At 38.4% G+C, this 17,835-nt stretch overlaps 1 protein-coding gene and 1 pseudogene across 10 annotated transcripts in view; both read right to left on the bottom strand.

Moving 5' to 3' along the window:
• TMTC1 (transmembrane O-mannosyltransferase targeting cadherins 1) overlaps positions 1–17,835 on the bottom strand; it is a 283,947-nt gene that overhangs the window by 141,866 nt on the left and 124,246 nt on the right. For 6 of the 10 annotated variants that reach the window (XM_047429634.1, XM_017020004.2, XM_017020003.2 and 3 more), the window contains one exon: positions 17,202–17,305. The exons of the other annotated variants lie outside the window; for them this stretch is intronic. In XM_047429634.1, coding sequence (XP_047285590.1) covers positions 17,202–17,305 — 104 coding nt within the window. The remainder of the gene's footprint in view (positions 1–17,201; positions 17,306–17,835) is intronic. 10 annotated transcript variants of the gene reach the window in all.
• Positions 15,663–16,162, bottom strand: RPL21P99 (ribosomal protein L21 pseudogene 99; annotated as a pseudogene).

Genomic DNA, 17,835 nt, shown 5'->3' on the forward strand with positions numbered 1-17,835 from the left:
ACTTTGGGAGGCCGAGGTGGGTGGATCATGAGGTCAGGAGATCAAGACCATTCTGGCTAACATGGTGAAACCCCGTCTCCACTAAAAATATGAAAAATTAGCCGGGCGTGGTGGCGGGCGCCTGTGGTCCCAGCTATTCAGGAGGCTGAGGCAGGAGAATGGCGTGAACCCAGGAGGCGGAGCTTACAGTGAGCCGAGATCGCGCCACTGCACTCCAGCCTGGGTGACAGAGCGAGACTCCATCTCAAAAAAAAAAACTCCCAAACAAACAAACAAACAAAAAAACCCATCAAAAAGTGGGTTAAGGACATGAATAGATAATTCTCAAAAGAAGATATACAAATGGCCAACAAACGTGAAAAAATGCTCAACATCACTAATGATCGGGGAAATGCAAATCAAAACCACAATGTGATACCGCCTTACTCCTGGGAGAATGGCCATAATCAAAAAAATCAAAAACAGTATATGTTGGCATGGATGTGGTGAACAGGGAACACTTCTACACTGCTGGTAGGAATGTAAACTAGTACAGCCACTATGGAAAACAATGTGGAGATTCCTTAAAGAACTAAAAGTAGATCTACCATTTGATGCAGCAATCCCACACTGGGTATCTACCCAGAACATAAGAAGTTATTATTCGAAAAAGATACTTGCACATGCATGTTTATAGCAGCACAATTCACAATAGCACAATGCTATGGTGAACCAACCCAAATACCCATCAATCAACGAGTGGATAAACTGTGATATATATATATATATCACATATATATGATGGAATATATATATGATGGAATATAAAAAATATTATATATTATATATTTTATATATAATATAATATAAAATATATAATATATATCACATATATGTTATATATTATAATATATAATATATGTCATATATAAATATATATTATATATTATATATAATATATATCTATATATTATATATATAATATATATGTTATATTATATAATATATAATATATATCTATATATTATATATATTATATATATTATATATTATATATATAATATATAAATATATATTATAATAAATATATATAAATATTTATAATACACATATATTTATATATTTATATATATTTATATACATATTTATATATTTATATATATTTATATATTTATATATATTTATATATTTATATATATTTATATATATTTTTATATATAAATTTAAATATATATAAATAAATATAAAATTATATATAAATATATATAAATAAATATATATAAATTTAAATATATATTTATATATACTTACATATAAATATATATAAATATATAATTTATATATAAATATAAATATATAATTTATATATAAATATAAATATATAATTTATATATAAATATAAATATATAATTTATAGATAAATATAAATATAAATATAAATATATAAATATATATGTGTGTGTGTGTGTGTGTGTGTGTGTGTGTGTGTGTGTATATATATATATAATGAAATACTAAACAGCCATAAAAAGGAATGAATTTATGGCATTTGCAGTGACCTGGATGGGACTAGAGACTATTATTCTAAGTGAAGTAACTCGGGAATGGAAAACCAAACATCGTATGTTCTCACCGATATGCGGGAGCTAAGCTGTGAGGATACAAAGGCATAAAAATGACACAACAGACTTTGGGGACTTGGGGGGAAGAGTGTGAGAGGGGCGAGGGATAAAAGACTACAAATATGGTGCAGTGTATACTGCTTGGATAATGGGTGCACCAAAATCTCACAAATCACCACTAAGGAACTTGCTCACATAACCAAATACCACCTGTACCACCAATAACCTATGGAAAATTAAAAAAACAAAATTCCCAGAATAATTCAAAGACAGAAAACTCAGAATAGAACTAAGATTCTTAGGGAAACAAAACTAAGCAGCTGCAAGAAAGAAAGGCAGCACCCTTCCATGAAGGCTACATGCCTTCCTCCTGGCTGCCCTGCTTCTCTTAGCATTTGCTCCACCTCCACCCTCTGCTCAGGGGCTTCTTGTGCTTGTTCATAATGGAGGCTGAGTGTAGTTAGCAGTTCTGTCCCCAGCCTCTCCTTTTCTATCATCTTCACACCACTTGCCTCACCCTCAAGTTTTACATTTCTGACCGCAGCACCTGACTAGCTCACCTCATCTTCTGGAATCAACTCTCACAGGTCCTTGAACTCCAACTCCTCTGGATCCTTCAGGTCCCAAAGCAGACACCACTCATTGTGACAAGCCTTCCATATCATCCCTCCCCAGGCCAGGTGGGTGTCCCATTGCACTGGGGCTTGGCACACTGCCCTGTAACTGTCCATGAATGTGCCCATCCTCCTCACTAAAACAGAAGCTCCTCAGGAGCAGTGACTATGTCTGTCTATAATTATTTCCCTAGCACTCAGGTCTTAAAATAAATGGATTCTATGGGTTTTAAGAAATCAGCCTGATAATAAAATAATGCCTTAGAATCTGGAAATACTTGAATTTATACTTTCATTTCGGCCTGGGGCAACCATATACTTTTCTACAACCCAATAAAAGATATCTGCTAGACTTGCAGTTGTCCAGGCATATAGTTGAGGGGCAAAGATGGAAGATTCTGCCTTTTTGTAGCCCTCTTCAGCACCCAGTGCTACAGGCATTCCCTTCACTCAGAAACATCCTCCTGAAGCTATGCCAGCTTATTTTTTCTTATTTTGCATTAAACTACAATGAACATAGTTAAAATGAGAATTTTTGTTACCATGGATAAAGTATAAAGTGAATCTGAAATGTCATTGTCTTTCTGACCTTTTACATGTGCCATTAATATAGTAATCTTATTAATAGAGAGCTTCATCAGAGCAGGGAAAATGGAGTTCAACGTCTGAGAATGTTAGCAACTTCTTACCCATATATCTGCAAAAAAGGAAATACAGTTTCTGCAAAATAAATACTGGGTTCATTTTTTTGCCTAAGGTATCTTTCTCGCTATAAAGGATTTAACATGTTTATTTCAAACCAATATACTTTCTCTCATTGAGCACAGGTTCAACATTCATTGAGGAGGCATGAACTGACTGCTGACCACGCATCAGGCTCAGGTCTCCAGGTCTCTATACAAGAATCCTGTTGGTCTATTAATGAACCGCATACAATATTAAAAATACTACTAGCATGTAGAACATTCGCTAGTTTACAAAGCATTTGTGTATACGGATTATTTGACAGCAAATCCTCTATGAAGTGGGCATTACGCTCATTCTTGCATCAAAGAAAATTGCCTAAAAGAGGCTGTAATTCATTCAATTCCCACTGCAAGCATATAGCAGAGTTTGCACACATATGACAGAGTTTTCTGGCTCCAAATACACTTGTCCATGGCATCATATGGTCTCCCATTAGCATTTCTTTATCAATGTGGAGAGGTGAAAGGAAATAAGGTGGGTGAAATGCTGGTGTCTCATGGAGAAGCACCCGCCTGAGACCCTGACTCACTCCTTCATCAGTGCAGCCCAGAAGAACTGGAGCTTTCATGTAGTCCTAGCAGGGTTGACATAAACTAAAAATCCATATATAATCTCCTCTAACGACACATCAAACTGATTGCACTGCTGAAAATGTTTGTTAGAGCATCAAGAAGTAGAATCCTTAAATAAAAGCTCAGGCTTGGCATTTTTTTCAGTGTGAAAAGCAATATTGGCCTTTATGTTTCAATGTTAGCAGAAAATAAAAGAAGTGTTCCTTTAACTTTCATCAGCTTCTCTGGGATTTAAGATTGTAATGGAAATACAATATGTAGATTTAAAGGATGAGATAGTTTTCTTCAACAAATAAAATATCAGTAAGTGATCCAGATCTGCATTTTTCAGCAACCCATCCCTAGTCCCCAGGTAAAATTGCTACTGCCACAAGCTCTCTCATGTGACTCCCTCTTCTCTCCCTTTTCTTGTGACAAATTAAATAAATTATGACGACGTAGTTTCGTTCTGGTTTGGAAAACTACGCTCATTGACCTTGATAATCTCTTTCATCCCCAAAAAGCTATTTTTCTATGAATATATTATAATACAAAGACATAACAGGGGCAGCATCCCCGGCAGAGAACTCTTCAGCTACCGGGGACACAGTTTTTGCCCAGGGTTCTCAAAACAGGTGGCTCCCCAATTCATTAGGCTGCTGTTTGATACAAAGATTCTGTCATCCAATCTTGTGACTTACCCAATCAGAATTTCTGTCAGATGAATCAGAGAATCTTTATATTAAACATGTTTCCTTGATTGATTCTCACATTCACTCAGGTCTGGTAATCACACCTCTAAAATACAGAACAGCTTCAGCTTCGTTTCGAAAAAACATGTTTCTTTTTGAGACAGAATGTCACTCTGTCACCCAGGCTGGAGTACAGTGGCGCAATCTCGGCTCACTGCAACATCTGCCTCCCGGGTTCAAGCAATTCTGCCTCAGCCTCCCGAGTAGCTGGGACTACAGGTGCATATCACCAGGCCTAGCTAATTTTTGTATTTTTAGTAGAGACAGAGATTCACCATATTGGTCATGCTGGTCTCAAACTCCTGACCTCAGGCAATCCACCTGCTTCAGCCTCCCAAAGTGCTAGGATTACAGGCATGAGCCACTATGCCCTGCCCCAAAAAACATGTTTTAAGAGCCCCTATAAACATGTTTCGAAGGCTTTGTTAGTTGCTCAGTCAAGAACAGAGCAGTTCATTTTGCACAGCTCTCTTTAAACACACAATATATTATTTTACAAAAGAAACATTTTAATTCAATGTTCGGAGGTTATTATGAGATAGCCCCATGTTAGGGGCTATAACGGATGCAACATAGAGTCCTAGGCTGTAACAATGAAGATCTAAGGTTTTGTGTCTCTTTAAAACCATCAACCGAAATGGAAAGATGAGAAAGAAGCTTCTTTAGAACGTGGAAGATGTTGCGTTCTAGTTTCATCTTGCTATTTCCTATCTTGATCTTTTCCTACAAAGTAATACAAGCCTTTGCCTGTATTTCTTAACAGCAGAAACAGACCTACCACTCAAGCAAATCTATTCTAGTTGTTTATCCAGGACCAAATCTCATGAAAAAATATGATGCTAAGAGAGAGCCTTCATATCCTTTCACTGAAAATCCTATGTTATCTCCTTTCTGGATTTGAAAGACAACCAATTTGAATGTGATAAAGGCAATACTTCTTCCATCAAGTGTAGGCTGCTTTATGTCCTATCCCCTTCAAACTGGTAAGACAAAACCAATTTCTAGGCAGCAGAGCATGGCTATGGTCGTGGAAATGACATTTAAGGCTCCAGTCCTATGCAGAAGCCATACTTGGGCTTTTGTTTTTATCCTTAATCCCAGATTTACAAGAGTGGAGGTCAAAGGATCACATTTCTGAAGATACTTACAGAAACAGAAGAGCAAATCTGGAAGCAAATGACACTTTTCTGACAGGACAGGTTACACATAAAATCTATTCCATCACTTTTCAAATGCAAGTCCATAAAAAACATGGAAGCAGAAACTCTGGGCATCTGGACTTCAGAACTCATACTTTAACATGATTCCCTAGTGTTTTTGAGGCACATTCAGGTTTGACAACCTAGCTGAGATAAATTCTTAAGGCCCCTCCATGGCTCTACTCACAGAACAACTTTGAGTGGGAATTTACAAGAAGTATCATAAGCACCTATGGTCTTGGGTCTTGAAGAATATTTTCTTTTCTTTTCTTTTCTTTTTTTCAGATGAGAATCAAATTCTAAATTGGCGCAATTCTAAGTCAGAGTGCAATAAAATCTTCCCACCACTCAGAATCAGCTGAGCAAAACACAACACAGCAGATTGGAAGAGGCCATTCAAACCAGAGGCAGACAGAGGCTGCAGAGAGTGCTGCATCTACGGCACACACCACTCATGTCTCACCAGCCACTCATCCTTCTAGCTCCTTCTGGCGTGGGGTCAAGCCAGGAGCACAGTGCTTGTTCTAGTCCAGTGCCATCCAATAGAAAGAGAATGAAAGCATATATAATTTTCAATTTTCTATTAGCTACATTAAAAAGAATAAAATGAAACATGATGAATTAGTTTCGGAAATATATTTTGTTTCAATGAATATACCCAAAATATTATCATTTCAGTAGATAATCAATGTAAAAATTATGAATGGGATTTTTTACATTTTTTTCTTACTAAGTCTTCTAAATGCGGTGTGCCTTTACACTTCCAGCACATGGCCATTGGAACTAGCATTTGATGTGCTAAGTAGCCATATGGGGCCCGCAGCTCCTCTGGTGGACTGCAAGGATCTGGACAATCACCTGTCTTCAGGCCCATCCATCCTCCACCTCTGCCCACATTCACTTGTCCTTGGTTTTATCTTTTTCATTCTAGATTCCCACTCCAACCCCACCACTCTCCCCTTGGCTGCAGCCCCCCTCCACTCTCAAAATTCCCAACTACTATCCTGACTTGTTATTGTTGTCCATCAGTTTTACTGTGTGGCCTCTATGTCTACTCACCCTCTTTTACCTCTTGTGAAAACTTCTGACTCTTGTTCCTATAGAAATTCCACGTGGGATAGGACAGATGGAGGGATTTAGATCTATGAGGGCAAAATTTTCTTAGTTGTTAAAAAATGAGCAATTTAATAAAATCTAAATTTAGAGCAACTACAAAGAAGATAATAGAGCATTCTTTGTGACTAACATAAATACAGTCATTCAGATTTCAAGCTATGAGAAACTAAAGGAGAGAGGAGGTAAGTAAGAGAGCCAAGCTGACAAAACAGGACTGCGGACAGGTGGGTCCAGGAAGAGAGGGTTCCTGTAGTCACCCCTGGCTTACGCCCTCACCACCCTTCTAGAGAAGAAAATGGAAATTAATATCAGAATCACACTGTGTTGTATTTTTATTTTGTCATATATGTAATTGTGCAAGTTAACCAGATATTTCACAGTATAAATTCCATCATTCCCAAGGAAACATTTTGCTGTTTTTATAAAGTTACAAGTAGACAGACCCTTGCAGATGGTTTTGAAGACAGAAAATTGGACAAGGCATGGGGAATGAGGTGGGACAGTGTGCAATTAATAATTACAGTCAACTTTCTGGTGCCCAGAGTGGAATATCAGGTGTGTTACAACCTTCTCAGAAGGGTGGCTTGACAAGGCTTAACGTTTTCTAAGGATGCTAACTATAACCAAGGTCACCAGTTATTTATTCAACAATGTTCTAAGGATTTATTTTTGTATCAGGCTCTGAGCCAAAGCCTAGTAAGATCATAAGATAATTTTAAGGGCCATCAGGTAGTTGTTATCCATAGGGCTATAAACAAAACTATTCAGTACCTCAATCTGCATTTAGAGCATCTTCTTACTTAACTTTCTCTTTTTTTCTTTTCTTTTCTTTTTTTTTTTTTCTTTGAGGAGTCTCGGTCTGTTGCCCAGGCTGAAGTGCAGTGGCACGATCTCAGCTCACTGCAACCTCTGCCTCCCAAGGTTCAAGCCATTCTCCTGCCTCAGCCTCCCGAGTAGCTGGGATTATAGACGTGCACCATGATGCCTGGCTAATGTTTGTATTTTTAGTAGAGATGGGGTTTCACCATGTTAGCCAGGCTGGTCTCAAACTCCTGACCTCAAGTGATCTGCCCGCCTAAGCCTCCCAAAGTGCCGGGATTACAGGTGTGAGCCACCTTGCCCAGCCCCTACCTAACTTTCTGATTTTGACTTCTGTGAACTGTCACCTCTCTTCCTGAGGTGAGACACCCGGGCCTCAGGTCATCCCAGCCACCTACCCTAGACCTACCCTCTCCAGGGGTTCTCACACTGCAAAATCAACAGGTTCCCTCTCTCAGTGGCAAAGTCAAAGCATTCATCCTTTCAGTGACCAGATCATGGTGAAATGTTAAGAAACAATGGTCTTATTCAGGAATTCACATGACGGTATAAATAACTAAGTGTACAGACTAGAAGCAGAAAGCAGTCAGTGTAAGTTTTCTAGCAGGGAAACCTTTCTAAAGAAGCAGCATGATCTGAGCTTTCACAAACAGGTGGGACGTAGACCTACTAACCGATGTTGTAGGTAAATGGAATGGATGGAGATCTGCAAGGGCCCAGGATTCCGAGGCGTTCAGTTCTGGTGGTTCATGAAACAGGCTTGAGGACTCTTGTTGATATGTGAATAGAGGGGGAGAAAAAGATATTATCTAAAAAGCTAGACCTGGAATTTCCCTCAGAAAGAAAACGATCTTCTTCAACATTTCTTGTTGTTGTTTCAAAAGAAAACACCACTGTAGGCTGTATCAGACACAAAACTATGTATTCATCCAGTGTGTTTGATTTTCTTCTGAGGCACACGGGGGGCTACGCTTTCCAGCCCCTTTGCATTTGGAGGGGGCACATGACTACTTCTGGCCTCCAGGTCTGAGCAGAGGTGATGTGGGTCCCTTGAGGCTGAAACACTTATAAGCTGCGTAGTGGAATGAATACTTCATGATATTAAAGAATGGTTGGAAATTTTTTTGTAGCTACCATGAGAATACTGTGGCTGTATATTTTAAAAGACAGCCATATCATTTAGAGATATAGTATGCTGAAATAATGATGACTGAACTGGCACTATAGTTGGGACTAGTTTCCAAACAGTTGGTGGTGGGTCAGGGAAAACAAGAGGGACTATTAGTGGGTGGGGCTATTGATGGAATAAGATTAAGCATAGTTGATAAATGCTGAAACTGAGTGATAGGGACAAACATGGAGTTCATTATACTGTTCTCTCCGCTTTTGTAATATGTATTTGTAAGTTTCAATATAAGAAGTTAGGGCCCCACTAACTTTCTCTCCCTCTGCTACACTGACTTAGCCATTCCAGATGGCAGGACTATAAAATGCAAGCAGCTCAGAACACAGAGTCACCAGCTGGAAGGCAGCATCCCTAGAAAGTTACTGGGCCCACAGCCCTCCTCCTGTGAACAAAAAATTAAACCTTTTCATGTTCAGTCATTTTAATTTCAGAGCTTGCTATTACCTTAGCATACCCTCATCTCACCTAGGTGAGGCATAGGTGTGTGAGATTTTAGAGATAATTTAGTCTTGGGTGGCCTATATAGTCTAGGGCTATGTAAGAAATTATTAGGAATTTGGACAAAGGAGGAACAGAAAATGAAGAACAAAAAAGGAGAGAGGTAGGGCTAAGCAAATAACTGAAGCAAAAAACTTGCCCAAAAAAAAAAAAAATTAGCCATTGAGAATTCCCCAGTGGAAGAGATGCTGGAAGATTTTGTGCAAGATGATTAATGTAAGTTACCTGTGGCATGGTTCTGTGATGTAACTCTGCTTTTTGTCTCCAGATTTCTGTAAAGTCCCTTGTACACAAATGCCTTTTATGAGTGGTACTATAGGGGATATGAATGTGAAAGGTCTATGCCCTCTGGTAACTTGGTTGGCACAAAAAAAGGAAAGAAGAGTGGCCATGGGCAGTGTAACAGGGACCAGATGTAGAGTTTAGCAGGAAAGGGAAAATGCAATGGGAGATGTCCCATGAGAATGTAAGGTTCTAGGGAAGCATATAAATCCTGAGGAGGGCAATGAACACTCAAGAACGTGGGAAAGAATTTAAGCCAGTTTTCTTTAAATCTCAAAGAGGAAGACCCAAGATGATATTGGGGTTCCATAACTGCATGCATTTCAAGCCTATCACTGCACTGTGTGGGTCATTCTCATGACAGAGCAGAGTTACCGCCTCTATACCAGGGTGCATAAAAGCACATGCAGTTGAAAATGTCTTAACGACAAAAAGCAAAACAAGGATATATCCAGAGGTGGTAGTGCAAAGTGGCCTTCAGAAACAAAAAGGCAAAGGTAGTGTAATGTTCATAGAAGCAGCAGGCCTATGACAGCAGAGTCAATCATGCATTCATCCATCAAACAGTAAACAATTATCATGGCTCTGTCCTGTGCTCAGCACTGTAAAACCTGCCAAAGATACAAAGAAAGATAAGATATGGTTTCTGCCCTTGAGAAATTCACATTTAAATGGGAAGGAAAAATTGGGGAATAGTCTATAACAATAAAGTGTAATGAGATGGAATAAATATCTTCGCTGGGCACAGTGGCTCACGCCTGAAATTCCAGCATTTTGGGAAGCCTAGAAGGGTGGATCACCTGAGGTCAGGAGTTCAACACCAGCCTGACCAACATGGTGAAACCCCGTTTCTACTAAAAATACAAAAATTAGCTGGGTGTGGTGGTATACGCCTGTAATCCCAGCTATTCAGGAGGCTGAGACAGGAGAATTGCTTGAACCCAGAAGACAGAGGTTGCAGTGAGCCAAAATCTTGCCACTGAACTCCAGTCTGGGTGACAGAGTGAAACTGTGAACTGTGTCTCATAAAAATATATATTATATATATTTTTTATTTATATATACTTATATATCTGGCAATGGCCAGATCCCTTACACTTCGTGGATCCTAACGGGTGTAGGAAACCACTGACCTTGTAAATATCAAGCCAGCTAGAAATATCATTTGAAAATGACATGGAGGACCTGAGGAGAGTAAACTGTGAGGACAGAGACAAATTAGGAAGCTATTTCAGGAACACAGGCCAGAAACCGTGAGGGCCTTCAGGAAGATGGTGGCAGTGGGGATGGAGATAGCTGCATGAATTCCGGCGAATAATAAGAGCAGTCACAGCACGAGGGGACTACTTGGATGAGAGGAATGAAAGAAAGGAAGCAGTCATCAGCAATCATGACTGACAGGTTGTGTGTCATGGACAACTAAATGGACAATTGGGCCTTGGGGAACTTGCTTATCAAAAGAAAGTTGTGTGATAAAGATACAATGTCTCCTTTGTTCTTTAGTTTCTAATTATATTGTTCTTCTCAAGTGGAAAGTAGAAGCATTTACTATTCAACTTCATGCCACTAAATGGATCTACACAATCTCAATGAATTACAGGTTGGAAAAGTTATTGGTCAGTCACAAAGAACTGACTGACAGCTAATACATCTGAATGTCTGGGTTAAAAAGGAAAGTTAAAAGATTAAGGGCCTTCTCACCAGTGTATCCTGAATAATGATGACCTCCAATTCCATCATTGGAATAATGATGATCCAACTCTGTAAGGAATCTACCTTACATCTTGATATACCCAATGGTCAAGAATAAAAGGTCAAATTCTAAATGGCTTCCAAATTGCTGTTAACATCAACTGTATCAAAGCACAATGTTTTAAATATTAAAAACATAATCTTCATACAAATACACAGCACAAACTAAAGTTTTGTATAACTCGTAAATGTGAGAAAAAGATACTTGACCAAGAGAGTTCAGAAAAGAATTTGAGTTAGGCAAAGCCTTCTTAGATATAGAAGATATGTATCTTAGAAACAACAAAAATAAATTGGACTTCATCAAAATAAAAAACTTACATGCTTCAAAGGACATCATCAAGTAAGTGAAATGACAATATACAGAAAGAAAGAAAATGTGTTTATAAATCATAAGTCAGATAAGGGACTTGTATCTAGAATATATTAAGAAAAATGTTACAACTTGGAAATAAAAAGACAAACAACCCAATTAAAAAGTGAACAAAGGATCTCCATCAACGTAGTTCCAAAGAAGACAGCAAAAGAGTCAGTACATACATAAGGAGATGTTCAACATCATTAGCCACCAGGGAAATATAGGTACATCAAAACCACAATAACATACCATTCCCTACCCATTGGTATGGCTATAATAAAACACACTGTCAAAAAGACAAATGTTGGTGAAAATAGAGAGAATGTGGAATCCTCACATACTGCTGGTAGGAATGTAAAATGGTGCAGTTGCTTTGGTAAATATTCTGGCAGTTCCTCAAAAAGTAAAACATAAAGTTAACATTTATAATCCAGCAATTCCACTCCTAGGTACATACTCAAGAGAAATGAAAACATACATCTACACAAAAACTTGTATGTGAATGTTCATAGCACCATTATTCGTAATAGCCAAAAAGAGGAAACAACCCAAATGTCCATTTTTATCAAAAAAAAAAAAATGAGATGTATGGTATAGCCATATAATGGAATGCTACTGGGGAATAAAAAGGAATCAAGTATTGACATATGCTACAACATGGATGAACCTTGATAACCTGCTAAATGAAAGAAGCCAGTCACAGAATACCACCTATTATATGATTCTGTTTTTTGTTGTTGTTGTTGTTTTTAATGGAGTCTTGCTCTGTCACCAGGCTAGAGTGCAGTGGCGTGATCTCGGCTTACTGCAACCTCCACCTCCCAGGTTCAAGCGATTCTCCTGCCTCAGCCTCCTGAGTAGCTTGGATTACAGGCTCGTGCCACCACACCCAGCTAATTTTTGTATTTTTAGTAGAGATGGGGTTTTACCATGTTGGCAGGATGGTCTCCATCTCCTGACCTCGTGATCCGCCTGCCTCGGCCTCCCAAAGTGCTGGGATTACAGGTGTGAGCCACCGCACCTGGCCATATGATTCCATTTCTATATACATGTTCAGAATAGGTAAATCTACAGACACAGAAAGTAGACCAGTGGCTGGTGGTCTATTATAAAATAACTATATACACATATACAAGCTGAATTTAAAAAATTGGGATTTTTGTAGTCTTCAGGAAACAATGAATGGGAATGAGATTGGCAAATCAGTAACAATTTTTTTTCCAATGTACTGCAAGGCAATAAAACTAATATTTTAAGTTTTATTTTTTCCACTAGAGAGGAAAGAAATCATCACAACTATCATGTTTCTGTACATTAAATTCTAAGATGACAACGTTGTAAAATATAGTAAGCAGCAAATAATAAGCCTACCAATGTTGTATTCCTCTCAGTTTGTCACATAATGTTCTACATTACTGTGAATGTCACATAATCATCTTTTGTTTTGTTCCCATGTCTTAGAAATTTTGCTTAACAAAGGTTTTTCATAAGCATACCACAATGAATTTGAAGCTCAGTGTAAGCAGAAAATGACAGGGTATTCCCTCTGAGTTAAACACACAGAAATAGATAATGTAAACGAGTGAATCTCACAAGTCAAGTCCTTTGAAACAAAGAAGGCTTGACCAAGCTCCTCTTAAAAGTTATTAGGATTTTTAAAAATTACATGTAATTAATAACCATAACAGCTACTAAATGGGGAAAAAAAAGCTAAACTGAAAACTCTCACCCGATAATAACTTATTATACCTACTTTAAAATAAGAAACAATACTTGCAAGACAGTAGCAAAAATGCAACTGAAAGATGCGCAAAGTTCCTAAATTCAGTAAAAGAGAAGAAGCATCAAGGAGCCAGACGGCCATAACCACCTGGCAAGCCCCTGGTTACTCACAACAGACTGCAGAGCCAGCCAAGTCGCAGCTAAACTGCACAGCTGCTAAGAAGGAAAGAAAAGCCAACAGAACTAGGAAACAGACCAAGACAGTCCACTTTAAGAATCACCAGCCTACGACAGGACAAAGAAATATGCAAACTGAGTAGGAACTTTACTCGGGAAAGGAATTAGAGACCATTTTCTAGGTGCTCAAAAGAGTCAATTCTAATGTGGCCACCTCAGAGGAATGAGAAAAGCTATTCATAACAAATGTCAGTGAAATTTCCCTGGATATATATATATATATATATACACACATACACATATACTTTTTTTTTTTTTTTTTTTAAAGACAGAGTCTCGCTCTGTCACCCAGGCTGGAGTGGTGCAATCTCGGCTCACTGCAACCTCTGCCTCCCCAGTTCAAGCGATTCTCCTGCTTCAGCCTCCCAAGTAGCTGGGATTACAGGCGCCTGCCACCATGCCTGGTTAATTTTTGTATTTTTGGTAGAGATGGGTTTTCACCATGTTGGCCAGGCTGATATTTTATATTTGAAACACAAGAACAGAAAGATGTTTCTCAAAAGAAAGGAAAGGAAGAATATAAAGATATGGATATTAGGATATTCTATTCCATCACTTTTTATTAATTGAACTGCCTGAGTTACAGTCGCTTGGATGGACTGATTCACAGACAGAAAGTCCTGGACAAAATATTTAGCAGATCCCTTTGAAAAGTATATATATATGCCTTGGAAGTGAAAGGCAGAATCTAGCAAATGGTTGGCTCAAGGTACTAATTTTGCCACAGGTTCCACCAAAGAAGTTTTTTTTCCTACCAGCAGGGATAAGAAAACCCTACCACTTAATGCCCTTGGCCCCTAAGATGTTACAGCTAGGACAGCTGTGAGTCAGATATCAGCGACACCTTTTCCTAACACCAAGGACCTTGGGACAAGCACTTGTTTACTTATGACATGAGATAGGAATAAAATAATTGGTTGGTGAGTTGACAGCAGTATGTTCTTGTTCTCCCCCATCTGTCCTTTTTAACCGTACATCTTAGTGTTTGGAGACTGGTAAGCTCAGGGAACATGCTATGTCTAACTACAAAGATAAGAATGAACGCTCAAATTCAGGAGACAAGAAGTCTTGGAATGAAATCAACCCAAAGCTAAAGGAAATGGAGCCATTATCCAAGAATATATGGCAAAGTTGGTTTTTCTCTTAAAGACAAAGGTAGTTATTTAAGGAGCTACAGAACACAAGAAAATATATTAGTGAGCTGGCACAGCTAAAAATATCTGGATGAGCAGCCCTGGAGATTTTGAAGGCCAGGGAGAGATACCTAAAAATGGTGAGTAGATTGCAACATTAATACAAAGCTGGGTTAGAGAAGTCAAGCTTAATTAAAGGATATATGAAACAAGAATTTTTAAAACATAAGATATAAACAACAATTTATACAGGTTCTACACTGCTGAGAAGAAGTAAGCCAACACCAGAAGTTGGATATCACATTATTTCTGAGAGCATATTCAAGATTTGTTTGATACAAACACGTTGGAAGTAATGAAGACAAACATGACATAGTTTTTATTATAAAAATGTGATAATCGAATTGGAATATATCCTTTTTAAATGGGAAATAAAGACAAAGAAAGAGAAGAAAATACTAGAAATAACTTAAAAAGCATACAAGGCAAAGAAAGTAGTAGAAATTTATTAATTCCAACATAGAAGTTAATTAATGATATAAAGCAAAGATCACTGGCAGACATAAAAACAAAATCTAGGCTGGGCACGGTGGTTCACACCTGTAATCCCAGCACTTGGAGAGGCTGAGGCAGGTGGGTCACCTGAGGTCAGAAGTTTGAGGCCAGCCTGGCCAACATGACAAAAACCCCTCTCTGCTAAAAATAAAAAAATTAGCATGTGCCTGTAGTCCCAGCTGCTTGGGAGGCTGAGGTAAGAGAATCACTTGAACCAGGGAGGCGGAGGTTGCAGTGAGCCGAGATCACGCCACTGCACTCCACACTGGGAGACAGAGTGAGACTCCATGTCAAAAAAACAAAAACAAAAACAAAAAACAAAAAACGAAATCTAACAATCTGTTGTCCCTAAGAGATATGAATAAACTAAAATATAAATGCCCCATAGATCAAGATTTAAAATTTATCACGTCTCTGCAAATACAAAAAAAAAGTGAAGGTTGCTATCATTAAAATGATATTAGATAACATTAAAGGTATGTAAAACTATGAACATTTTAGAAGAGTGCATCTTAATTTTTTATATTTTTAATTTTTTACAGTCCACAGGTCTTTTATTTATTTTTTGACATCTATTATGACACAAATTCATAGGGGATAGGTTCCAGTAGGCCAGACTCCATTCCACTCGTTCACAGAGTGTGCTTCTCTGCCTTCCTTCTTCTCCTGATCATTTTCTTTCATGCATTTCAGGAAGCTATCTCCGCTCTTAGAGTGCTTAATACGCACATTAAATCGCTTAGCAAGAATCTTGCCCTGAACTTGTTTGTTTATAACAACACCAACAGCAGCTGGGTAACACTGTAGACTCCTCCAGTTTTGCCACGGAAACATTTGTGGGGCCTTCCTTTTCGAACAGGAACCATTCCCTTGATGTCAACAATATCACCTTTCTTATAGATCTGCATGTATGTGGCCAAAGGAACAACTCCATGTTTTCTAAAAGTCTTAGAGAACATCTATGGGGTGCCTCTCCTCTTTTTCTTTGTGTTCCTCATCATAGCAAATTATTAGAAGATGGTGGTTCCAGCCAAAAGAAAGGCATCCCAATTCTTAAAACATTATAGCAACAACATATTCTGAAGGAAGGTATTAAAACTGTCAAATATAATTACATCTGAAAGCCTCAGCTATACATCACAGCAAATAAAATAGTTAAGGACTTAAAATCCTATTCAGTGAATCAGATCCACTGATCAGCATTACTTCTTGACCCAAATCCCTCAGAACTCTTAAGGACAAATGGCATAATTAACTGTATCTTAGCAAAAACTGTTGTTCATTTCTATTTGTCACTTCCAACCACCCCACTTATTTTATCTTACAAATGGTTATGATATCCAGTCAACCTCTGCACAATTCTCTGCACACTGTTCTGTAACATTCACCATATGTATCAATCAATAGATAGTTATTATTGACAAGTGCCTGCTATGGTTTGGATATGGTTTGTTTGTCCCCACAAAATCTCATATCGAAATGTAATCTCCAGTGTGGTAGTGTGGAGGCCTAGTGGGAGGTGTTTGGGTGAGGAGGGCAGAACCCTTATGAGTAGATTAATGCCCTTCCTTGGAGGTAAGTTCTTGCTCTATTGGTTCCCACAACAGCCATTTGCTAAAAAGGAACCTGGCACCTCCGCTCTCTCTCTTGCTTCCTCTCTCTCTATGTGATCACTGCACACAGTCAGCTCACCATCATCTTCGGCCATGAATGGAAGCAGCCTGAGCCCTCACCAGATGTCTAATCTTAACTTTCCAGCCATCAGAATAGTAGGCCAAATAAACGCTTTTCTTTATAAATTACCTAGTCTCCAGTAGTTTTTTTATAGCAACAGAAAATGAACTAAGACAGTATCCAGTTAAATATTTGTTGAATAAACAAATATACACCAAATGAAACAATAGCAATAATACTGCCAAAACAGCTTTATTTATTGGAAACAATTTCAAATGTATAGTTTCTTTTCTCCCCACATGGAGGATAGACCCCAATCCTCAATATGCAAAGTCAGCCTGTAATTTAAGATTACTCAAAATTATCTAATAAATACCAAGTTTTAAAAAAATTATTTATACTAACCTCGTAAGAATGTAAGGCGAAAATGAAGCTGGATTATCCTGCTCTGAAAAGAGGGGCATAGATCCTCCCATTATCCACAGACGGAAGTACAAAATGACAAGCACCTTCAGAAAATAAGAAGATTCAGTGAGATTGCCACCAATAATCTCCACCCTTTTTGCAGGTGCATTCTGTTCCTCTAACAGGGAATGAAGTCAGTCACCCCTTCCCTTAAATCTGAGTTAGTCTTGTGGCTGGCTTGTACTGACCAACAGAACATGCAGAAGGTACCTTACCTCTGTTCTGGACCTAATCTTTGGGAGGTGCAGCAACTTTTAGTTCATTCTTTTAGAAACCAGCTGCCATGTGGCAAGGAAGTCTTGACTACCCCTCTGGAAAAAGAACTAACAGGGAGAGGCCCTCGGGGATGAGATATCACGTAGAGGAGAACTGAGATGAACTGGCTCAGACGATAGCTGAATAAACTTCATTGAGTAACCTCAGCCCCAAATCATGATGATCAGAAGAACCGAAAAGCTGAATGCTGCCCAAACTAAAGCAGGTAGGGCAAATACAGGGTTGTTATATTTAAGCCACTAAAGCTGGGGGTGGTTTGTTATGCAGCAATAGACAACTGATACAGCCAGGATTGCAC

Source organism: Homo sapiens, chromosome 12 (genome assembly GCF_000001405.40).
Source record: "Homo sapiens chromosome 12, GRCh38.p14 Primary Assembly".
In the NCBI taxonomy this organism is placed as follows: Eukaryota; Metazoa; Chordata; class Mammalia; order Primates; family Hominidae; genus Homo; species Homo sapiens.